General features: G+C 38.9%; 1 protein-coding gene and 1 long non-coding RNA gene across 5 annotated transcripts in view, besides 1 other annotated feature; one reads left to right on the top strand and one right to left on the bottom strand.

Annotated features, from left to right (window-relative positions):
• Window positions 1,307-1,601: a silencer, noted in NCBI's record as "tiled region #4806; HepG2 Repressive non-DNase unmatched - State 23:Low". NCBI's record gives its function as "represses a minimal TATA promoter and a strong SV40 promoter by Sharpr-MPRA in HepG2 cells {active_cell/tissue: HepG2}" and the evidence as "EXISTENCE:reporter gene assay evidence [ECO:0000049][PMID:27701403]".
• CPB2 (carboxypeptidase B2) overlaps window positions 14,462-26,017 on the top strand; it is a 51,848-nt gene continuing 40,292 nt past the window's right edge. For 2 of the 3 annotated variants that reach the window (NM_001278541.2, NM_001872.5), the window contains exon 1: window positions 14,462-14,559. In NM_001278541.2, coding sequence (NP_001265470.1) covers window positions 14,486-14,559 — 74 coding nt within the window. In that variant the 5' untranslated portion in view covers window positions 14,462-14,485. Of the gene's footprint in view, window positions 14,560-20,574; window positions 20,751-26,017 lie in introns of those variants that run through there. The other variant, XM_017020393.3, reaches the window with a different exon arrangement.
• Window positions 18,148-26,017, bottom strand: part of CPB2-AS1 (CPB2 antisense RNA 1) — a 48,500-nt gene continuing 40,630 nt past the window's right edge. Inside the window, exons 2-4 of one of the 2 annotated variants that reach the window (NR_046226.1) lie at window positions 24,493-24,642; window positions 22,096-22,385; window positions 18,148-21,097 (exon numbers count right to left, since the gene is read on the bottom strand). This is a non-coding gene — a long non-coding RNA (CPB2 antisense RNA 1). The remainder of the gene's footprint in view (window positions 21,098-22,095; window positions 22,386-24,492; window positions 24,643-26,017) is intronic. The other variant, NR_046227.1, reaches the window with a different exon arrangement.

Raw genomic sequence — 26,017 nt, 5'->3', positions numbered from 1 at the left:
ATCCACTCCCCAATTGATGGTCATTTGGATTGTTTCAAGTTTTTTTTTATTGTTATGAATAAAGTTGCCATAAACATTCAGCTTATTGAGCATTCAGCTGCTATGACACTCAGGTCTTTCTGTAGACAAATGTTTTTATATTAGGCAAATATCCAGAAATAGAATTACTGGGATATATGGTAAGTACATGTTTAACTTCATGAGAAATTGCCAGACTGTTTTTCAAAGTGGTTGTACCATTTTGCAACCCCACAAGCAATATATGGGCATTCGAGTTGCTCCACATTCTCACCATCACTTCGTATTCTCAGACTTTTTCATTTTAGTTATTCCAGGAATGTGCAGTAGCAAATTGTGGTTTTAATTTGCATTTTCCCTAACAGCTAATGATGTTGAACATGTGCTTACTGGCCATTTGCATATTTGGTAAAGTATCTGTATAATCTTCTGCCCACTTTATATTGGGTTGTCTTCCTATTCTTAATTTATAGGTGTTCTTTACATATTTTGGATACAAGTCCCTTACCTGATATGTGTTTTGCAATTATTTTCTCTCATCCCATGGCTTATATACTTATTTTCTTAACAGTGTCTTTTAAAGAACAAGATGCTTTTAATGGTAAATTCCAAGTTTTCAATTTTTCACCTGTGATTTGTGCTTTTTGTGTCCTACCTAAAAATTCTTTGCCTAACTCAAGGTCACAAAAATTTTCCGTTTTCTTCTAGAAATTTTATTGTTTTAGCTCTTACCATTGGGTCTGAGATCCATCTTGAGTTATTTATAAGGTTTAAAGTATGGCTCCAGATGATTTCTTTTGCACATGGATATCATATGTTTTCAGCACCATTTGCTAAAAATATCCTTTCCCCCATTGAATTATCCTGTTAACATTGTTGAAAATCAGTTAATTTTATTTGTATGGGTCTATTTCTGGACTCTCTGTTCTGTTCCATTGATTGCTATTTCTGGACTCTATTCGCATGCCAATGCCATATTGTCTTAATTATTATAGCTTCATAACCAGAATATTCAAGTGCCTCAACTTAAAAGAAATATTTTTAGCTACTTTAGGAACTTTGAATTAACTGTTGTGTCAGGGATTTGATTTTACTCTACTTGGAAGCTAACAAGTTAGCCTATACTACTGTTTCATGGAAGCTGGAAAAAAAAAACAAAAACCCTCAAGAATCCTAGGTCTATGGCAAAGAACTCTATTACCCATGGCATGGTAAGCATTATGAGCATTATCATCCACATCAGTTTCCCTTGCTCCCCATCCCCAAGACCCATAGGGTGATGTGACATGGGCCCAGATGGATGCCTGTACATGCAATTGGTTGCATTGCAGAAGAGGTACACTGGACTTGGGGAATTCATCTGTTTTATATCAAGCTGTAAGAAAGCCTGTTCTTTGTCCCAGAGTGAAACATTATCTCATACCTCAAAGTTGCTCTCTGCAAACACAACTGTAAGAAACAAACGTGATAAGAAATGATCAGGGCTTGGTTTCTTAGCCTTCTAAGTAAGATGTGTAGCAAGCAGTACAAGAGACACATGGAGGACGGTTTCCCAACAAAAATTTAGAATAAGCTTTCAAATTTCTATAAAAATGCTCACTTGAATTTTGACTAGGATTATGTTGAGTCTATAGATCAATGTGGGGAGAATTGTCATCCTAACAAAATTGTCTTCTGATCCATGAAAATGGTGTATTTCTTCTTTTACTTAGATCTTAATTTCTCTCAGCCAGTTTTTCTCCTGTACTTTTAAAACTATTTCCCCTACAAAGTTCACACTTTTGATGGCATTTGAATCTTTATTTTCAATTGATTATTGTTATTATATGACAATACAACCAATCAACTGATTTTTGCATACTGATCTTGTCTCCTGCAAATTTGCTAAACTCATTAGTTCAATCCTAGTAACTTTTTTGGGATATTCCTTGAGATTTTCTATGTAAGTGATACTGTCATTTGTGATTAAAAGACAGGTTTACTTATTTCTTTCCAGTCTAGATGCCTTTTTTTTTTCTTGCCATTGTGCACTGGCTAAGATCTTCAATTTAATGTTGAATAGAAGTAGTGAGAGTGGGCACATTTGCTTTGTTAGTGACCTTTCAGAAAAAGCATTTAGCCTCTCTCCATTAAGTTTGATGATGGCTGTAAGCTTTTCATAGATGCTTCCTTTCAGATTGAGGAATTTCCTGACTATTTCTGACTTGCTGAGGGGTTTTATTGTAAATGAATATTGAATTTTGTTAAATGCTTTTAATTCAGATGGGCTTTTAAATTTAATCTGCTAACATGGTGAATTGCATTAATTGGTTTTTGAATATTAAACAAACATTGCATTCTTGTGAAAAATCTTACTTGACCATAATGTATTATTCTTTTGCTATATTACTAAATTAAATTTGTTAAAATGTTGTTAAGCATTTTTGCATCTATATATATGAGGGACATTAGTTTATAGTTTTCTTATTTAAATGCCTTTATCAAGTTTGGTGTCGTGCCAGGGTAATGTAGACCTCATGAAATGAGTTGAGAAATATTTCCTCTTCTTTCACTTTTTGAGAAGATTTTGTGTGGAATTTCCTTCCTTCCTTCCTTCCTTCCTTCCTTCCTTCCTTCCTTCCTTCCTTCCTTCCTTCTTTCCTTCCTCCTTCCTTCCTTCCTTCCTTCCTCCCTTCCTTCCTTTCTTTCTCTCTCTTTTTCGACAGAGTCTTATTCTGTCGCCCAGGCTGGAGTGCAGTGGCATGGTCTCAGCTCACTGCAACCTCCACCTCCCGGGTTCAAGCAATTCTCCTGCCTCAGCTTCCTGAGTAGCTGGGATTACAGGAGCCCGCCACCACGCCCGGCTAATTTTTGTATTTTTAGTAGAGATAGGGTTTCATCATGTTGGCCAGGCTGGTCTCGAACTCCTGACCTCAGGCGATCCATCCGCCTCAGCCTCCCAAAATGCTGGAATTGCAGATGTGAGCCACTGGGCCCGGCCACATTGTTTCTTTCTTAAATGTCTGGTAAAATTCACCAGAGAAGCCATCTAGTCTGGAATTTATTTGAAAGGAGATCTTAAACTATGAATGCAATTACTCTAATAGATACAGGGCTATTCAGGTTATCTATTTCATCTTGAGTGACCTTTGACAGTTTGAATCATTGAAAAAATTTGTACTTTTCACCTAGGTAATGAAATTTATAAGCATAAATTGTTTATAATATTTTCTTATTGTATTTTAGTGTCTGTAGGATTTGTAGGAATGTTCCTACAAATTCATTCCTGATGTTGGTAGTGTGTATATTATTTCTTTTGTTCTTGATGAGTCTGATCAGAGGCCTATATCAATATTATTGCTATTTTCAAATCACCAGTTTTTTTGTTTCTTTGGTTGTATCTATAATTCCCTTTTTTCTACTATATTGATTTCTAATCTTATCTTTATTGTTCCCTTACTTGTTTTGGATTTACTTTGCTTGCTCTTTTTTTAAGTTTCTTGAGGCAGAAGCTTAGGACATTGGTTTAACATCTACTTTTTAAGTATCTAATCCCATACATTTTTCAGTAGGTACTGCTTTAGCTGCATCTCACAAATTTTGATATGTTGTGTTTTAATTTTCAATCAGTTCAAAGTATGTTCTAATTTTTCTAATTATTTTTCATTGTGTCCCATGGACTTTAAAAGAGTATATTATCTAATTTCTATACCACAATAGAAAAACTGTAATTAACCATAATATATTATGTAGTTTCAAATAGCTGGAAGATAATATTGAAGGTTCCCTACACAAAAATTATAGATGTCTGGAATGACTGATATGCTAATATCCATGATCTGATCACTATACTTTATATGTATTGAAACAACACTATGTACTCCACAGATAATACAATTATTTTTCATTGGTTAAAAAACACAATTTTAAAAAATCAAAAATAAAAAATTTCCAAATATTTGGGGATTTTCTATATAATTTTTTGTTTTCTATTTCTAGCTTAATTCCACTGTGGTCAGAGAGCATGCTTTCTGTAATTTTAATCCTTTTAAATTTCTCAGTTTTTTTTGTACATGGCCCAGAATATGATCTGCCTTGGTGAATGTTCCATCTACACTTGAAATATGTATTCTGCCATTGCTGGATAGGATGGTCTATTAATGTCAATTAGGTGATACTGGTTCGTACTGTCCAAACATGCTATATCCTTTCTCATTTTAGGGAAAGTGACGCTATGTAATTTCCATGCCTAAAGCATAAAAGATGAACCTTGCCTGCTAGAATACTTGTTCTTGGAAGCGTCAACCGCTACACGGTTCACATACCTTGAGGTTACCACGCTATGAGGAAGCCTAAATTAGCTCACATTGGAGAGGTCTCAAAGCCAGATAAAACGAAAGCGACATCTGACCAATCCCTAGATTCTCTAAGCCCTCTGCTGTTCTGGCTCCAGCCACTGATCACAACAATATGGGAGACCTTGAGCCAGAATCATTCACCACCTTATCCTCAAATTTCTGACCCAGAGAAACTGTGAGAGATAAAAGATAATTATTGTTATTTCAAGCCACTACGTTTTAGGTATTACACCATAATTAATAGTAATAGTAGTGACGTATTACACCGTAGTAGCAACGGCACCACCACGTTCCTCCTTACTCCGTATAGATAACCTCATCTCTTTCTTAACTAAGAAACTAGAAGTTATCAGCACTAACTTACTCAATGTCCAGACTTCCTCAAATATAAATATATCTGCCTCTATATGCCTTTATATGCATCTGTATGTCCGTCTTTCTCATTTCAGCAAAACAGAGTACCCGGATTCTCTCCTACACCGCTTGTCATCACCCAGTCTTCCCTGCAAGCTCATCTTTCTTCACTTGGGCCTTAATTTTCTGTGCTCCTCAGAGTTTCCATTTTCTCTTCTCATCTCAAACTCCATACTCTTCCAGGCCCATCTCTTCCTATCCTTCTCTCTTTTCTTAGTTTATAGCATAACCATCTACTCAGCTGCCCATGCCAGAAATCAGGAAATCATCTTTCCTTCACTATATTCCTCATTGTCTATATCCAGTCAATCACAAAGTCCCATCGCTGCTAACTCCTTCTTAATTACTCTCATATCCATGTAGGTCTTTTCATTCATGGAGCTAGTATTTTAGTTTGTTCCACCATTCATTTCTTGCCTGCTTTGTGATCAAAGAATTTAACCTAGAAAATTTTTACAGTTAGGAATTTGTTATATTTTTAAATTGTAGCCTTATAGTTTGTGATCAAATTTTGCAATAATTCCACAGAAAATTGGGAAAATTATACATACTCTAAAAACTAAGTTCAATACATGTCTATTAATTTAACTTTGTTATTTATATCATTCAATTTCTGAATTCTTCCAGTTCATCCATGGGAAGCTCAAGCAAGAGAACAAAAGAAGGAAAGAAAATGAGGTCGGGATTTTTATTCTCCCAGCTCCCTTCCTGCAGAATTAATAAAAACTGCCTGAGGGCTGGGTGCAGTGGCTTATGCCTATAATCCCAGCACTTTGGGAGGCCAAGGCAGGAAGATTGCTTGAGCCCAGGATTTTGAGATCAGACTGGGCAACCTGGTGAGAACCTGTCTATAAAAATACAGAAATTAGCCCAGTATGGTGGTGTGTGCTGAGGGTGCAGTGAGTCATGATCACACCACTGCATGACAGCCTAGATGACGGAGCGAGACCCTGTCTAAAGAAAAAAAAGAACTTCCTGAGTCCTTCAATGGTAAGTCACAGCTCCAGCCAGACAGCCCTCCCCTGTGGCTCTGTCACCAGGTTCTGGTCACTCATTCTTTTCCTTTCTCTATCTTTTCAGTGCCCCATGTTACTATTCTTGGGACACTGCACCATACCTTGTAATTTCCCTATACCCTTCCCACATCAATATAAACAATACTTTTATTAAACTCCCCACAAATTAATAACATTGAGTATACCATCTTGCAATGCTCACCAGGGAATCCTCTTAAGTTCAACCTGGCATTCAAACTCACAAGACTTCCATCAGCCTCATTGGCAACAGTTTATTCAGAGGTATGTAAGGTAGAAATCAAAGCTTGATGGCAAGGCACTGTTGGGAGCTCCTCTCCCATGGGAGTAGTTCTTGGAGCAGCCATGCAGCAGCCACACCACTTCCCGGGCTTCTCAAATGATGTTTCAGGTGTGAAGCAACAAGATCCACATCAGGCAGGTGTGAGAATCACCCTGGCCTAGAAGCTCCATGCACCACAGTAGCCAATATCTTGTAATAACTTCATAGACACAGCTTTCAGGGTCCCTATGGAGGCATATGGAGTTACAGGAGTCAGCACACTCAGGGGAACTGAAAGCTATGATGTCCCAATCAGATATGATGTCCCAAATGATTGTCCCAATCATTTATGGTTATCCTGAGTCCAGATGCAATTTATCCAGTAGGAGTTATTTCTACCAAAAGTAATGTTGCCTAGAGACATAGTCGACATTTTACCTTTATCAAGTTATTAGAGGAACAGAGTAAGGAAGATAAGTGAAGGTCAAATTTTTATGCAGAAAGAGGCATCTGTTTCCCATTGAGACGTGAGCTATATATTCCCAATGTCTTATTTTGCCTATCTAAGCCATCCTAGACAAATGGGAGTGTGCTACAGTCTTCTCTTGTGTTTTTATTTATTTCTTCTTGATATTTCTATCATGTTTTGCTTTATATTATAATGGCATTTCTTTTTCTTTTTTTCTTTTTTTTTTCACTGTCTTATGGTGCTGAGGTATTTTTCAACTCATAAAGTTTAATGACTGTTGTGTATTAATTAAATCTGTTGTCAATTCCAATTGATCTTTGTCACACTTTTTGCATTGCATAGCTTAATTTTGCTTTGTCTGATTTAAATAGTGCCATGTTTTTGTTTGTGTTGTTTCATTAATAGACTTTTCTACAGCAGCTTTAGATTTACAGAAAAATTGATTGGAAGATAGAATTCCCACATGTCCCCTCACTCCGCTACACTCACCCACCCCCCAACACACACATAGTTTCTCCTATTATTCACATCTTGTATTAGTGCGATACATTTATAATTCTTGCTAAACCAATATTGATACATTATGATTAACCAAAGTCCATAGTTTGACTAGGGTTCACTGTTTTTTTTTGTTTCTTTTTGAGATGGGGCCTCCCTATATTGCCCAGGCTGGTCTCCAACTCCCGGACTCCAGAGATCCTCCCATCTCAGTCTCCCAAGTATCTGGGACTACAGGCATACACCACCATGCCTGGCCAGGGTTCACTCTTGTGTTGTACATTCTTCGGGTTTTGACAAGTGTATAATGACATGTGTTCATTATTACTATGTCATACAGAGTAGTTTCACTGCTTTAAAAATCCTCTGTGCTCCACCTACTGATTCCTCCCTCCCTCCCACCTGAATCCCTTTTTGAGAATGTCACATAATTAAAATCATATTATATGTAGCCTTTTCAGATGGGCTTCTTTCACTTAGCCACGTGCATTTAAGTTTCCTCCAGGTCTTTCTCTGGCTTGATAGCTCATTTCTTTTTATTTCTTTACCCCAGCATTTGTTTCCGTTTCATTGATATCTCCTTCTACATATCTTCTATTTTTAACTTCTGTGGATCATTTTATTTTAGGTGTATAAGTCATAAAAAGCATAGAGTGGAGTAAAAAGTTATTTGAGAGTTTGACTTTTACTGGAAGGGTTCCTATTTTTTTCCTTGTACATATTCTTGTCTTATGTATTGTGTCTAGTCTTTCTCTTTGGAAAGTGAAGCACCAGAGGTGAGGCTTGGGGCCAAGAAACAACCACTAGAATGAGCAGAGCAAGAGAGAGGAGAGACAGATAGAGGATAGCAAAAGCAACGAGAGAGCAAAACTCAGACCCAAAATGAAGGCGAGTAATGAAGATCACTTAGACAGGTGAATGACTTGGGAAGTGGATTGGAAATCTTGTCAGATTTACACCAATGCAATCCCTTTGTCTTGTTCTCTGGAGGGACATTTTGGAGAAGGAGCTCAAATGCTAGCCCCACCTCTTCCACTCACCACCAAAATTATTTCATTGCCTCCAAAGTATAATTGAACAAATTGATTTTATATTATATATTAATATAAAAGATTAATTTAATGTATTAAATATTAAGATTTAATATTATTTTATATTAAGATTAATATAAAAAGGCAAAGGTAGAAATAAACTAGGAAAAGAGAGAGAAATACAAAGCACTAGAAAGTAAAAGCAATTGAAGATGGACACAGAGAAAAACAAACTACAGGAATACAAATAAAAATAGAGAAGAAAAGAAATATCCTATTTACTGTAATGAAGAGATCCATAGACAAATGCAGGGAGGGAGATTTCCACGTCAAGACAACTCAAAGAGATTATGGTTTAATGAGACTTTCTGCACCTCTCCCCAGTCACACAAAATTGGAGGAAAAGATATAAAAGGACAAAACCCCAAAGACAGCAAATGAGAGACAATCTCAGATACAAGAAATGGAACGTAAATGCAGAGTGGTGGCAGGTGTTGATGGCATGAGACAGGCAGTGGTGGCCACTGTACGTCATGGAGACATACTAGGGTGCTACGGGTAAGCTGACTGCTCAGGGCCAGGGACCAAGCACATTCTTCCCAGCTTGTGGAATCAAAGATCAATAGGCTGGGCGCAGTGGCTCATGCCTGTAATCCCAGCAATTTGGGATTACTCACCTGAGGTCAGGAGTTCGATACCAGCCTGACCAACATGGAGAAATCCTGTCTCTACTAAAAACACAAAATTAGGCAGGCAGGGTGGCACATGCTTGTAATCCCAGCTATTAGGGAGGCTGAGGCAGGAGAATCACTTGAACCCAGGAGGAGGAGGTTGTGGTGAGCCGAGATCGTGCCATTGTACTCCAGCCTGCGCAACAAGAGCGAAACTCCGTCTCAAAAAACAAAACAAAACAAAAAAGCAATAAAAGTTGTGCCAGACTTTTGCTTCCATTAGGATACAGAAAGTTGCAGACAAATGTGGTTCCTACCTTAGTAAGAACAAGCTGGACAACCTCCAAAATCATAATTTTTGCAGCTCATCAGAGAGCTGATGCTGCAAAGGAAACTAATGAACCAAAATTGAGGGAGGGACAGGAGAGCAGAAAAGGTCCTGTCTGAGGCACAGACATGCTGGTCTGCCAAAGTCTGAGAGCAGAGCAGGAAAATTGGAAGCAATTCTGTATTAGTCTAGGTTATCCAGAGAAAGAGAACCAATAGGAGATATATGTATGTATAAATATATGTGTGTTTGTGTGTGTGTGTGTATATATATGTATATAAAGAGATTTATTATAAGTAGTTTGCTCACATGGTTATGAAGCTGAGAATGCCCAGAAACAGCAGGTGACAAGTTGGAGACCCAGAAAAGCAGATGGTCTAAGTTCCAGTTTGAGTATAAGTCTGAAGGCATAAGACTGATATCCCAGCTCAAAGTCAGCCAGGCAGAGAGAAAGAAATCTTTCTTACTCAGCCCATTTTCCTATTCAGGCTTTCAGTGGATTAGATGAAGTCTACCTTCTTTGGGCCTGTTTTATAATCAACTGATTCAAATGCTAATATCATCTAGAAACACTCTCACAGACACATTCAGAAATAATGCTTAACCAATATCTGGGCATCCCATGGCCCAGTCAAATTGATGCATACAATTAACCATCACAAATCTCAAAGGACTCTGAGCCCCAGGCTGAGAACAAGACAGTGGTCATCTGTACTGGGGAAGAGTCAAGAGATCAGAGAGAGATGAACTCTTTGAAGCTCAGAGCCTGCTGACCCTCTTTGAAGCTCAGAGCCTGCTGACGTTTGAGGTCAGGGCAGGAAAACAGAGAGAAAACCCACAATGAACCCAGCCTTACGCTGAACAGGAGACAGTAGCTGCCTGTGGCTACTGGTAGGGAAGAGGAGAGCAGGAGAGCTGAGACCCCTCCTATGGCGCAGGAGCACTGGGCCTGACGATGGGTGCAGGCAGGGCAGGAGAACTAAGACAAACCCTCCAGGCACTCAGATATCAATCCTGGCTAGAGGAAATAATTTGATCTTGCTATAATAATATAACAAATAAAATTTAACAAAAATAACAGCAAAGCCTAGACCCAGCTCAACTGCAGCCTAGATTGGCTCAATCCTTCACACTGGTGGCATGAGAGAAGAAGATATGGGACCTATTCTGGGCTTATCTGCTAGTTACTTTAGTCTATCCTATCCTTTTGTACATAACATCTGTGATTCAATAAAAAATTACAAGTATATGAAAAAGCATAAAAAGTGACCCATCTTCAAAAGAGAAAATGGTCAAAAGAACCAGATGCAGAGATTGCTCAAAGACAATCTTTGTTCATACATGTATGAAAAAATGGGAAATGCAGCAGTGAAAAGTAAACTCTAAAAAAAAATTCAAATAGAAGTGTCAGAAATGAAAAATATATCAGAAATAAAGACTTCTTTCAATGGACTTATCAGCAAACTGGAACTGCTGGGAAAAGAATAAGTGAACTTGAAGCCAGATCAATAGAAAATATCCAAATTGAAGCATAAGGAGAAAAAAGAGATAAGAAATAAAACAGACACACTCTAGTTATTATTGTGGTGAGGAAAGAAATTACTGCAAACTTATGGATGTAGACTCATACGTACAGAGCCAATGGATTTTTCCCAAAGATGGCAAAGCAATCCCATGGGAGAAAGAAAAGTGTTTTCAGGAAATGATGCTAAAACAATTGAATACTTATATGGAAAATTAAAGAACATCAATCCCTCCCTCAAAACATACATAAAAATTAATTTGAGATGGATCATAAACCTAAAAGTCAAAACTATAAAGCTTCAAGAATATCTGCATGATCTTGAGTTAGACAAAGCTCCTTAGACAAGACCCAGAAGGCACTAACCACTAAAGAAAAATTGATAAATTGAACTCAGCAAAATTAAAAACTTTTGCTCTGCAAAAGACATCAATAAAAAATGGGAGAGCCACAAAGTGTCAGAAAATATTGACAATGTATATGTCTGACAAAGGAGTTGTATCCTGAATATATAAATAACTCTCACAAGTTAATAATAAAACGACAACTAAATTTTCCAAAATGGTCAAAAGAATTTGATAGACATTTCTCAAAGGAAGATATATTTACAATACATATATCTGACAAAGGACTGATGTCTAGAAAATGTGAATAACTCCTACAAATCAGTAATAAGACAAACTATCCCAACTAACAACCAGGCAAATGATCTGAACAAACACTTCTATATATATATATATATATATATATATAAAATCTAACTGTACACTTACGATCTGTGCATTTCACTGCATGTACCTTAATACAAAGGAAAAAAATGCTGCTCACTTTTACCTAGGACTGGTTTATAAGTAGCTGCTAGTCAGTATGAGACAGAATAACTACACCAGGAGTAACTAAGCCAATAATTAAGTCAAGTCATTACTGTTTGCTGACTGGATCTTTGAAATGTGCTCCAAAAACCAGTGTAAGACAGGGCTCTGGAATGGAAGCGCAGGGACTTCTTGGAGGCATGTGCCAAGCAGAGAGAAGTGAGCATAGGGGAAGAGAGAAAGAAATGAAAGACTTCCTACTTGAAGGAAGACTTCCTACTCAAAATGAGCCTGCAGACCAGAGTTCCAAATCACAGAAGAATTCAAATACCAATAAAGGCAGCTAACAAAATCAATACTCAGAACATGAATTCACCCAAACATAATTAACCTCATAAAGCAGTGCAACACTGACTTTAAAATAAGTATCCTGAGGATTCTCAATGAGAGATCTAAAGGAATCATATCGACTAAAAAATTGAAAAAAATCTTAAATGATATTTTAAAATACTGGTATAAAAACAAAATCAGTAAACACGCAAAAGAACCAGCTGTAAATGATTTATATAGTCATCGAGGTAATTATTTAAAACACCTCAACTGGACTATGTAGTCTAAATTAGACTCAAAGAATAAATTAGTGGATTTGAAGATAGTGCTGAGAAACTCACCCAGAATACAGCATACAGAGACAAAGATGATGAGTTTTTAAAACATGAAAGGACAGTTACAAGACATGAAAGATAGATCAAGAAGCTCCAACAGGAGCCCCTACAGGGCACTAGCAGAGATACGATAGCTGAAGAAATAATAAAATGATTTTCCAAGACTGAAGAAATGTCTAAATCCTCAGATCAAAAGTACATCCTGTGTATTGAGTAAGATAATAAAAACTAAATCCACATCTAGACCAGAGTAATGGATCTGAGAAGCACCAAGGATAAAGATAATCCCTTAAAAGTTATCAAGGAGAAAGGACAGCTAAACTGCAAGGGAACAACAATTACCTGGGCAGCAGATTCCTACCATGCAACAGGAAATGTCAAACAACAATGACGCATCCGTCACACTCGAATATTACATTCAGCTAAACTAGTACTTGAAAGTGAAGGCAAAAGAAAGTTATTGTTAAAGATACAGAGCATAAAAGATTTTATCACCTGTAGACTTTTGCTATAGGAACTTTTAAAAGATTGCTTCAGCAATAAGAAATGTAATTTAAAATTTATTGTTTTTTATGCACTCTGTTTCTTTTGTATCCTGTTTCTGTTTCCCCAGAGAGGAAACAGGACATAAAATAAAGAAGAAACACAGATACAAAATAAGTAGCACAAAAATTGATAGAATTTATTAGCATATTTTAACTATTTTGACTGTTTGTTTTAAAGTTAACTTTTATGTTAAAAAGATAAGGTAAAAGTTACTTGGGTTAGTTTTTCTTTCTCTCCTTCAGTGTGATTATGTTATTCATTTGAAACACAGGTTCGTTTTTGTTTGTATTATTTTTTAAAATTTATTTGTTTGCTTGTTTTAAGTACATATGTGAAAAGAACATGGTTCTAAAATTCAGAGTAGTTCTAAAGTTCAGAACTATTCAAAACACTTCACCCAAAGAAGCGTCCCTCCCTGTCTCTTCTACCCTGTCTTTTCCAGTGTGTTTCCACTCACCTCCCGTGGATAACCAGTCTCATTGATTTCTAATCTATCCTTCTTATGTTTCTTTCTCCACATATGAGCAGACACACACATATTTTCTTATTTCTTCTTCTTTCTTATACAACAAGTGGTTACAGTGGAGGTCACTTTAATTCATTAAATATCATTCAATAGTTTTAAATCTCAAAAGGAAAAGTTTGAAATCTCAATCATTTTCTTCTGGCCAGGCACGATGGCTCACGCCTGTATTCCCAGCACTTTGGAAGGCAGAGGCAGGTGGATCTCCTGAGCTCAGGAGTTTGAGACCATCCAGTGCAACATGGTGCAACCCTGTCTCTACTAAAAATACAAAAAAAATTAACTGGGTGTGGTGGGGCACACCTCTAGTCCCAGCTACTTGGGAGGCTGAGGCAGGAGAATTGCTTGAGCCCCAGAGGTGAAGGTTGCAGTGAGCCAAGATCACGCCTCTGCACTCCAGCTTGGGCTACAGAGTGAGACTCTGTCTCAAAAAAAAAAAAAAAAAAAGAAAAGAAAAAAGAAAAAAAATCATTTTCTTCTCAGAAGTTAATTGTGGGCAGGCTGATTTATTTTGCAAATTTGCCAATTCTGACTTCAAGAACATTCAAGTGCATTAACCAATGGGAATGTAGGGGAAGAGGGCTCCACTCACTTACAGAGGGTAGGATATGGCCTCATACTAGACAAAATGTTATTTGATGCTACTTTCAAGATGATAGGGGATGGGCCTGGATTTAATTGATGGCTATTATGGTGACCTTTAAATAAATGAGATTCAAAGTAACCTGATGTCTTTACTGCTTGAACCAGCTTCCATGAAATAGTATTCCTATTGGGGGTGGGCCTATCATTCCATATGGTCAAGGAAACATCTTTTTGAACAGAGATCCTGTAATCATCCTTACAAACTGCACTTCAACATTGGATTGGATTAGCCAGATTTGAGGAACTCACTTTTTACATCTTCATAAATTTAAAATGTTGAAAAAGTCAGAGGCAAGGGAAGACATTTATAGTACTTCACGGTAGATCTCCCTCAACATGGGCTATATATCCATTAGTCAATATTCTATAGCTATTGTTCTGCAATAAACCAGACAAGATCCTACTGTATTACTACCCTTTTATTCTTGGCCCTACCTTCCCCAAGGAGTTACACATTTTCTAGATAGTCTAAATTAAGAGCAACTCTCATCATACTCTTTTTGAGTGTTTAATTATCAAGCAACAGCCTAACTAAGCCAATAATATTTCTCTTTTTGGGAGTGGAAATGGAAGCTAAGTTGATTGACCCACAGGAACAAGAGGGAACATGCCGTTATATTTTAACCAGTGTGTAAAGAAGGCTGTTATGCAATCAATGATCTGGGTTTTTCTCTTCAGAGAAATTTGTTGTACAGAAAATTGCTGTTGGGATGAAGCTTTGCAGCCTTGCAGTCCTTGTACCCATTGTTCTCTTCTGTGAGCAGCATGTCTTCGCGTTTCAGAGGTAACCCAATAGAATCTTAGACTGTGGTGGGCCACTCTCCTCACTTGTTTGCCTCATGTCGTGTCAAGTCAGTGCACTGAGCTGGTGGACAAAATGGTAAACTTTGAAGGCCAGGTCTTTCAGAACTTTCCAAGTTGCCCTGACAAATAAGTAGACTTTAGCACAATGGGCTATCACTAAAGACAGGGTCTTTTTTCTTTCCTGGCTCTGGTTTTATTATTGGGAGAACCTTGGATGATACGCATATCCAGTGACTATGGAGATTCAAGAAATTAAATCTTTTATAAACGTAACTATTTATACTCTAACTTGATGTATGATTCATATTCTTCCTGTCTTCACATAAAAAAAGTTAACTATGGATCATTTATTTTCCCCTTGTACATGGAACATAGGAGGAAGAAGAGGGTGAAGTGTTAAATAGGAGGTTTGGATCATGCATGATTATTTAGCATGGAATATGAAAGGAAGAAGAGTTGTGTGATAAAGAACTATTATCTGATTCTTATTTTGCTTAGTAGATTCCCTTAGGATAAACTATCTAGAAGAACACAAATGAATTCATGCTATAGCACATGCAATGCATGGAGAAAATAGTTCCAGGGTATATGTAATGTAATTTATTAAGTAGTCAATTTTTAGGCTTTAAAACATTGATATTGTTTCCTTTGGAATTATCTTATTTTTTCCCCTTTGTTTTGGTTCTATGATCGCTTTCTCCTCCAATTATCTTTGAGACAGATCCCTCTCCTCATGTTAGTAAATGACAAAGAAAGAAGAGACATAGGGCAAAGGAATATACCAGTGACAAGGAACATTCTACCACCAAAAAAATGTTCACGGTCATAAATAACCATAGGACAATGGTTTGGAAAATAGATCTTGACTTGTGAGCCTGAAGCTGTGTTTGTACATGATCACTGAACTGATTATAGTTGATTGATCTTCTTTTGTTCAACATGATTGTCGAATGTCGAGCAACAAATTCTATCATAAAATGATATTATTTTTGTTATTTAATTGACGTGGGGGTCAAGATTGCTGCAATGATCAGTGACTTATGTCTTTCTCTGTATTTTATCGGTGAATCATATGGTCAGGATTTCTAAGGTTCTTGCTAGTTCTAATATTCCATAACTTGATAATTGGCTTCAGTTAAGGGAAAGGGGGAGAAGAGAAAAATTGGTATCAACATGTCCAACTTGGCTACTGTACACAGTGGCAGTACCATTGACAGTTAGGGGAAAGGGAGGAAACCTCTGCTTATTTAGTGCCTGTGTTTGTGCCAGGCACTGAACTAGTCACTTAGAAATGTTATCTCTTTAAATGCATAAAATCCTACATGCTAGGAATCTTTACTGACATTTTACAAAGGAGGAAACTGAGCCTCAGGAAGAATAAATAATTGGCCCAAGATCAAACAGTAAATGTAGAGCTTGGATTCAAACCCACTTTAGCCTCATTTCAACTCCATGCACTGGACAGCATTGCCTCCATAAAATCTGGAAATTAGGAAGAGAGCCAGTTTGAAGGAAGGTCAGATTTAGTCAAAGGGAGTTGCAGGCAGCAGTTGGTTTGGAAAGTAGCTTGGAAGAGAGGTTCGGGATTAGAGGTTCAGTCTCATGGTTCTCACCCACTAGCAGATCTAATCATGGCCTTGGCGTCAGCCCAGTGCAATTATCCTCAGCTGGTTGTTGCAGAGGTTGGCGGGCAGGTGGGCTCACTGCAGACCGCCATCTTGATCGTAGAGTAACCCAAACTCTTGGATAGGATAATCAATAGCAAAACACACTAAAAGCTTTAGCACATCTCTTCAAATGAGTACGTGTATAGCAGCTTAGTGACACTAAATATAACGCAAATAGAAGAAGTAGCCAACAATAAAATAGTAAAAAAATGAGTGAGAACATATCTTCATGCATGGGCTTTGTTACTATTTGTTGCTTCAGCTTATACTCTGAAATCTGACTGATACTTATGCTTGAAAAAAGGAATGAGAATGTGACTATATTTTAACCAAAGAATATCACATTAAAAATATTTAATACTTTTGCATACTGCGAGGGTCCCTTTGCAGAGGAGAGGAGGTAGGAGGACCTCAGTATTGTAGACAGATGAATATCTGAATCCTGGTTCCCATCCCTTCACTGGAAATAACATTGCAAACTACTCTTTCTGTGAGTAAAAATAAATTTTTTTACCAAATGTTTCTGTGCTCCACTTTTCCAGGAATGGCCTATTCCTGAAGCTAAAAAGGAAATCTAATTTCATTCAGGGCAACAGACTTTGATAAATTGTTGCTGGGGTTCAGAATATCAACCCTTCTAAAAAAAAAAAAAAAAACTAACAGTCTGGCTTTTTCTTAAAGCTGTTCTTTGTTTTTTTTTTTTTTTTTGTCATAATCATTTTCCTACTAACAGTTTTTATTCATGCAGTCTCTTAGTGGCTGATTTGTAGGTTCATTTTGATAAATTTCATCAGTGAAATGCCCTGGAACAACAACAAGTTTTAAAGGCATAAATATCATATGCCAAAGGGAAAGGCAGCCAAAAAATCATGACTCCATATTCATTTGCTTTTAAAAGCCAAACACTATAAAGGGTAAAAATAAAATACTAGCAAGAATCTTGTAAACAGAATCAGTAATTGTATTGTGCAGTGATTACCTAAATGCAGCCTGCCAGCCCAGACTATTTGGAAAGAGGAAGTAAGAGACACTAGGAAGAAGACTTAGGAATTAGAGAGTGGAGGAGGGTTGAGGATAAAGGGCTTCTGAATTATTAATAGACCACAGGAAGTGTTCCTCTGTTGACTTCACATACTGTTTGGGTACCTGGAGACCAGTTTACTCTCTTTCACTTTGTTCCTACTGATGTATTGTTTTCATCTCAAAGAACAGGCCACCAGTGGCCTTAAAACACTGTAATGTGTGCAACAAAATTGCAGCCTTGGGCTATGTTCCATTGTTCAGAGACATCTTGCCAGCTTTTTAAATTCAAAATAATCTTTCAGAATGGTGAAAGTGTGAACCCTCCCCTGTAAACCATAGCAGGGGATACACCCCAATGAACATAATGACGTTCTCAGAAGGGAAGGAACAGAGGAAGTGTTGCATAGGTATTAAAAGCTCAGGATCTGGATTCGAGCCCCAGATCTGCTACTTATCACCCATGCAGACTTGGGCAATTTGCTCGTCCCCTTTCAGCCTTTACTTTTTTTTGTAAAGTGACCTGTTACTTCACTGTGCTTGTACTTCTCATTCGATTTTTGGTGCAAGGCTGTTCTTTTTTCTCAAGTGGTTATTGTGTAAGTGCTATAATCGTATCATTCAGAGACGCAGTTGAAACACAGCTTTAGTTTTTGTCTCCCATTGCCCCATGACATTTTGCGTAGTGGGGTTATCTATCACTGCTCTCGCATGGAAAGTTAGAAAATTTCAAGGCTTTTTAGCCTGCTTTTAAGTGACAGTCCTTGGGTCCTGCTAAAAATACAAATAGCCTCAATTTAGAAATTAGAATGTCACCTCCAACCAAGGTATTGTTCAAATATCCCCATCTTTGTTGTTAAAAGAAAATCTTTAAAAGAATTATATTTAGCAAAATTTAATTGAACAAAGAACAATTTTCTAATCAAGTAACCCTCAAAAACGAAAGAAGTTCAGAGAGTTCTGCTCAGCAAAGTGGGCAGGCAGCACTTATAAACAGCAAATGGAAATGAGGTCCAGAAGCAGCTTGAGTAGTTACAGGTGAGCAGTTGTCTTACTGGGCATAGGCTGATCAGTTGGCCACATGGGATTGGCTGTAGCTTGGCTGCTGTGATTGGCTGAGACTCACCTCGTTAGTACAAAAAAAAAATACTCCTAAGTTAGGTTGCAGTTTGTTATGTAGCGACTCAAGTTACGAGGCATCCTCAGACCAAATTTAGTTTAATTTAACATTATTTATAGGAAAACAACTGCCTCACCTCTTCCACAAACACACCTTACTCTTTTTCTTGTTAGTCTTTTTCTCGAGTTCTAACTTCTTAGAGTTGTGTGAGACATCTTTATTGGGGAAGCCTCTGGACCAGGACAGATGCTTCTTTGTCTAGGTTTTCACTTGCGACTCCATCCTTCCCCGCTAAGAGTCTTGCTTCTACCTCTGGGCTCTTGTTGTTGAGAACCTTCCATCCCTTTAGGTGGCCCTATTGGATGGCATCTAACATTAAGTGTTTCTTTTCATTTTAACTACTACTATCTAGCCAACTAGAGACCAGCCACATGCAGGTTTAGCTTTATCAGGAGAAGCCAGGCACCAGTCTTTGTGTCTGTAAATTTGAGGAAACATCCAACTCTCTCATTATCTCCTGGAAGTCCCCCTACTAGGCTGAGGTAAGGGGAGTGCACCCCGAAACTTCATCCCTTTGGGAGGGTGGTGACTTACAGAACCATAAAAACATGCTAAAAAAAAAAATTCACAAATCCTCTCCCTCTTTCCACTCTGACAGCTTTTTATATAGCCTGTTTATGACTAAGTAAGGGGAAGCAGTCATGAAACCAGTTTCCAAAAATAGAGTGATCTGACTGACCCTCATCCCATTACCTAACTCTGTTGTGTTAGCACTTTGCTCAAATTCTGCATAAGAAGAGTCTGTTCACTACAAGCTGAACTTGGACATATCAATAAATTTTTGGTGAATTTTTAACTTCATAATTTTACTCACTATTTCCTAACTTATTTTTTGAATTTCCTTTATTTTTTCTTCTTAAGAGGTCTCATTTGGATAACATACATTTTTACCTTTATATTTTCTTTCTTTCTCTGCTTGTTGACTAATTTTTATACTTTTCTCCTTCTTTAATACATTAGGTTTTTTTTTAATTTAATACTGCCCACTCAACATTTTTTGTTCATTATTTTCTTTCTTTCTTTTGAGACCTAGTCATGCTCTCTTACCCAGGCTGGAGTCCAGTGGTGTGATTTTGGCTCACTGTAACCTCCACCTCGTGGGTTCAAGTGATTCTCGTGCTTCAGCCTTCTGAGTAGCTGGGACTACAGGTGTGAGCTACTATGCCACGCTTATTTTTGTATTTTTAGTAAAGACAGGGTTTCACCATGTTGGTCAGGCTGGTCTTGAACTCCTGACCTCAGGTGATCCACCCACCTCAGCCTCCCAAAGTGCTGGGATTACAGGCGTGAGCCACTGTGCCTGGCCCATTATTTTCAATATAATAGATTATCTACCATACTGCCTTGTGAGGATTAAATAAGAATACCTGTAAAGCACTTAGCACAATATCCAAGTTACTAAATATCAGTAAAAAAGAAGAAAAGTCCCCCCAGACATATTATGCTCTAGTCAACACAAGACTTCCTCTACATGGACTTGAAATTCAGCATCTCTTTAGATAATGAAGAGCTCATTGCTTGATAAGGTGTCCTATCTCATGGTTAGCTCAAATTGTTAGAAGTTCACACTGAAATTACAGTGATTTAATGATATGAACCTCCACTTCTCTATACTTTACATGAAAAGGAAGCTTTGAGTTTGCCACATCTTTTGCTACAACTCCCAAAATCATGCCCAACCAACTTTTAAGTAAGGGCCACAATCTTGACCCCAGCATTTAAGACCCTTAACAATCAGGTCCTACCCTGCCATTCGTCCTGGCTTTATTTCCTGGTATATCTCTATATAGGCCCCATATTTCTGCCCAGCTGGATCACTTCTCCTTCCTTGAGCTCTGATTTTACTTTTCTACTTGTGCACCTGCACTTATGATGTTTCATCTCCAATTCGTTTAGCAAAATTCTGCCTATGTTAGTCTTATACCATCTCATCTTCCCTTCACCTATTGAATCCTAGTATCTCAGAAGTCCAACTCAGAATATCTCCATTCTCTGACTACCTAAGTCAAAAATGATACCTGACTTTGTATTCCTGTAGCAGAATATTTATACCACTCGCATTGTACTTTTAGTGTTTTATCTCACAGAATAGGCATTTGTATCAGTTGCAGGTTAGTTTCCCCAGGAAACAGACTCCTGAGATGAAGATTGCATGGAGGAAGTTTACTGGAAAGGAATCTCAGGATCAGCATCTGTGGAGGAATGAAGGAAGAAGGCTTGGGCAGAGGAGAAACTGACCTGTGATGTAATCACAACTATGGCCTCACCTGTTCCTGTGGAGAGCCTTGAGGCTGGGTTGGCCTGGTAAAGTTGTCCCAAACTGGGGCAAGCAGGCATGCCTTTGTAACCCCTGTTTATTAGTCACTGGGTGTGGATTGTACCTTGGAGGAGGCATCATGTTGGGCAGCACAGCTCTCTTCAGGCAAGGGCAAGTCCTAGAAAGGGACTCAGGTGAGAATATCAGCTGCCAACCCTCCCAGAAGCTGAGGAGACAAAGAAGCTGAGGAAATAAGAGTTCATCCCTGGATGGAGATCTAGGCAGCAAAACGTGACATCTACTACAGTCCAACCCTTTGTGTCACTCAGGTCAATTTTCTTCATAAAATAAGCTTTGAGATCAACTCTTCTGGGGTTTTGCTTGGTCCCTCTTCCTAAAGGAAATATACAAGAGGAACGTTAGTGAAATAAACTACAACCTTCACAGCTACAGCTAGTCTCGAGGCCATAACCAATACTTGTCATTCCTCTTCTCCCCTACCCGTTCTGTTTTCCCCAAAGAGGTGCCCTTTGCTAGCACCTCTTCTAATCTAGGTGGTTTACCTGGTGAGACAACCCAGACCCTCAATCCTCAAGGATCTGAGTCATAATCACTGGGCCCTCTTGGGCCATGGCTGCTGCAATTGTCTGTATACATCAAATTTGGACAAGGGAATATTACAGAACGCCTAAGCTGGATTCCAAACATATTCTTCCCTGCCACATTCAGTATGTAAGTGCAGCCCTCAATGTCCTTCTGATTATTGGAGTCAATTACCCTTCCTGCATGGCTAGAAAACCCATGGTAACTCCTCGCCTTCCTGATAATCAATCAGCATGAGGAAACTGAAATGACTGGACAGTAACAACAGCTTTCAGTTTAAAGGAACTCTTCCTATGCTCTCTGGAAACCGGAATTTTTATAAGTACAGAGTCCATATTTGTAGATTTAAAGTACTAATTCTCCGAGTGGGTTACTTGGAGTGACGGTATATGGAAACACTCCAACTTGGTTCCTGGAACCATGTATACTACCTAGTAGGGACACAGCACCACATGAGTATTGATTTAAAGTGTGCACTGGAGGATGTTGCCTTCCAAGTTAGCACCTCAATTGATCCTTCAACAAACCATTTTTATTTCAGTAACAGGATAGCAGCAACTAGGTATTCTGGTATGTGAGAGGCTAAGTGGATTCCATGGTAATGGACCCATTTCTGCAATTCCCTTGTTGTAAAGTGGAGCCCATGATCTGATAGGATGTTATGTGAGATGTTTTATCAGTGGTCAAACACTCCGTAAGCCCTTGTATGGTGATGCTTGCCTGAGGCCCTACAGGCAGGCGAGATAAACCCATACCCAGAGTGGAAGAGGACAGATGTAGTCAACTTACCACCCAGTGACTAGCTGGTCTCTATGAGGAATGGTGCTGATTCCGGGGCTCAACTTTGGTCTCCGTTGCTGGCAAGTTAGACATGGGGCAGCAACAGTAGCTAGATCAGCCTTAATGAGAGGAGTCCGTGCTGCTGGAGCCATGCACACTTCATCTCTGCCATCAGGCTATTCTGTTCTAGTGCCTTTTGTGCCAGCATTGGGGTGGCTGTTGACACAGGCTGACTGACATCAACTGGCTGAGTCATTTGTTTATGCAGCTGTTTAATGTCTATTCTGTTGTGGGTGCTCCTGGTTAGGCATTAATAAATGATACAAAGATCTTCACACTTTCTGCCCACTCTCATAGTTCCATTCACATCCCCCTTTCTCCAATCTCTTTGTCTCCAATCTGTCAAGATTTCTTCTTCCAGGTTCTTGAGGGGTTTTCCAGTCATGTCACTTGCCACTCTCCATGAATTCCTGCATATTCTAACACTGGAAACACCTTTTCCACCCAAGGTGTATGATGAGATGCAACACTGAAGCTCTGCCTATTTGGGACGATTTCCCTCTCTGCTCTCTTTCGGTCACCCGAGTGAGTCCATAATGCAGCACCACTTCACTTTTTTTTTTCTTTTTTGAGATGGAGTCTCCCTCTGTCGCCCAGGCTAGAGTGCAGTGGTGCGATATTAGCTCACTACAACCTCTGCCTCCTGGGTTCAAGCAATTCTCCTGCCTCAGCCTCCCAAGTAGCTGGCATTACAGGTGCCCGCCACCATGCCCAGCTAATTTTTTGTATTTTTAGTAGAGATGGGATTTCACCATATTGGCCAGGCTCGTCTCGAACTCCTGACCTCAGGTGATCCACCCACCTCGGCCTCCCAAAGTGCTGGGATTACAAGCGTGAGCCACCGTGCCCAGCCCACTTCATTTTTTACTTGTACCCATGCACTATCAACTTGACTGTCCATGTATCAGACTTCCTCTTCCTACTTGTGTCAGTTATGATCCTCTGAGAAGCAGACACCAAGATGGGATTAGCTGTGCAAGAGGTGTGTTGAGGAAAATGCTTGGGTGCAAGAAATGGGGAGAGGGCTGGAGGAGGCTGGGAGAGCCATGAGACTGCAATGCAAGCTTAACCCCTGTGGAGGAGAGAGGAAAGGAAGGAAGCAGGTAGGGAACATTTCAGGTCGTAGTGCAGTTCTAAGAAAGTTTTGGCAAAACCAACCAAGAGTCCTGGCCAGGCACGGTGGCTCACACCTGTAATCCCAGCACTTTGAGAGGCCGAGGTGTGTGGATTACCTGAGGTCAGGAGTTCGAGACCAGCCTTACCAATATGGTGAATCCCCGTTTTTACTAAAAATACAAAAATTAGCCAGGTGTGGTGGTGCGTGCCTGTAATCCCAGTTACTCGAGAGGCTGAGGCAGGAGAATCACTTGAACCCACGAGGCAGAATTGTAGTGAGCCAAGATTGCTCCATTGCACTCCAGCCTGGGTGACAAGAGCAAAACTCTGTCTCAAAAAAAAAAAAAAAAAAAAAAGTCCTATAGCCAGAGTCACACATCAGAAGAGTTTCCAGTTTTGTAGAAAGAGCCTCCCTTAGTATCCCCACCATACTCAGTTATTAGCTGCAAGAAGCCAGTGGGAAATGTGGTATTAGCACTAACACAGGGACAGATTTCAGAGCACAGTAGCTGGGGGCTTATATCAAGTACACATCTTGCAGCTGGAGAGTGAGAAAGTTAATTAAAGCTGAGGCAAGACTGTAAATATGCACTGGTGTCTGTCCCAAGTGGATGTTAACTGTTCTGATGCTTTTTCCGACTGACATATCCAGCGCAATAGCTGAATACCATATGCCTGAGACTCTACCCCGGCAAAGATGCCACATCAAGCACTATGGCTGCAATTGAGATTGTTGCTTGGTTGAGTTTGATTGTTTGCTGTCGTTTTCCAGGATCCATCTGGTTTTTGTGGGATCCAGATGGCAAATTAAATGTGGATTTGATGGGATCTATCATCCCTGCATCTTTTAGGTCTTTAAGGGTGGTACTGATATTTGTCATTTCCCCTCAAGGATGAATTTTTTTTTTTTTAATTTTGATATCTTGGCTGGGAGGTTGGGCAATTTCAGAGGTTTCCTTTTGGCTTTTCCCACTATGATAGCTCTGGTCTTACAGTCAAGGAAACAATGTGGAGGTTCTGCCAACTACCTAGTATGTTCATGTCAATTATACATTTGGTGACCAGGGAAATAATGATGGGGGAATCCATTAACATGGTGCACCCGCTATGAGCTAGTCTTAGGCTAGGGCTCCAGATACCCAAGTTTCAAAATCAACTTGGATAGTGACCCTGCATCCAACACACCTGAAAATATTTGAGTATTACCCTTTCCCCAGGGTGCAGACTTACCTGAGGAAATTTCCATAGGTCTCTTTGGGAAAGGACTGAAGGAGTCATGATCTTTTTAGATTCTTTTTTTATACAGTTGCAGGGTCTTTCCTTGTGGGGACCTGATTCCTCCTTCAGGCAAGAAATTCTGGGTCTAAGAACAGCTCAGATCTGGAAAAGGGCAATGGATTATGACTTTTGATTAGGATAGCTGTCCTCAGCCTCTCTCATTATCCAGCTTTGATTTATTTTTATTGTAAAGATTGAGCAATCCTTTTGTTGGCTGCTTCTCTATCTTGCCCCTAAGAACTCTGTGTTCTCCTAACCGACTCCACAATTTTCTAAGGGTCATGGTCCTCTGGCTGCCACTCCGACCTTACTGCTCATTGTAATAACTGTGCCCAACTTGTTACTGGTGGTTAAGCCCTCCCGCCTGGCTTCTCTATACAGGGATCTTAACATCTCCATTGGTATCAGAGAGCTCAGTTCTGTAATGGCATGTCCTGTAGTTAGCCCTCAGGATCTATTCCCACCTCCCCTCCTGGCCTTCAAGCCAATAACCTAGGGTAGTCACAACATAAGCTGGCTGTGGAAGTGCTGGGCATGTTAACAAAGGAAAGGGACTATACCCCAAAGGAGGTGCACTCACCCATGCTACAGAATTTAACATTCTAGTTAGTTCCTTGAGAGGTGGTACAAACATGCTGTTAGGGTAGTTTTTGGAAGCTTGGAGAAAGCATGGCCTGCACCATCTGAGCTAGAAATGTCAGAGCGAATGTGGCAGATGGTGAAAAAAGAGATAGAGCACACTAGAATAAAAATGCTATGTAAGGCTAGAAAACCCACTGGGTGACTACGCTACTCCAAGGGCCCAGAGAACATTCTGTTTATGAAAATAATAAGGAATGTGCTGGTGAGATGAGAGGGTTACCAGCATCACTGAGAAGCTTGTTAGTGGCTTTTTCACAGTCAAAGGAGATTTTTCTTTAAATTTAATTTTCTTGAATAAATACAAGAATAGGAGTTCTTTTGGGTTTAAAAAGTAAATAATACAGAAAAGCATAAAATTAGGGAGAAAATACTAAAATTTCACCATCCTGGTGAAAATATGAACATGTTTGTGATCATCCTTTCATACATTTCTCCACATAGTTATACCTCCCTGGGTATAATTGTATACTAGTTCAATGTTGTATCTCCTATTGGTACTATAGAAACCTTTCTTTTAAAAAGAATCTCATTTGTTCTTCCCCTGCCACTTACCCAAGGCTTCAATTGCCATTTCCCACCCTCCAAATCAAAGCTAACAATGTGTTGTTTATTTATGTATAATTTTCTCCTGATTTTAACACATATAATTTTTCTTTATCTTTCTAACTTTTTTTCCAAAAATAGGATCATATTTCATAAAGTTCTCCATATCTTGCTTTTCTCCCTTAATATGCCATTTAAAGCCCCCAAGTTAACTGTTATAAATCAAACTCATTTTTTATAATGACTGAAAAGCATTCTAGAATGTGGAGACACTACCAACATTCGACAATTC

This window comes from Homo sapiens, chromosome 13, assembly GCF_000001405.40.
Source record: "Homo sapiens chromosome 13, GRCh38.p14 Primary Assembly".
Classification (NCBI taxonomy): domain Eukaryota; kingdom Metazoa; phylum Chordata; class Mammalia; order Primates; family Hominidae; genus Homo; species Homo sapiens.
Note: the sequence above shows the minus strand (reverse complement) of the source record. Positions and strands in the feature narration are given on the sequence as shown.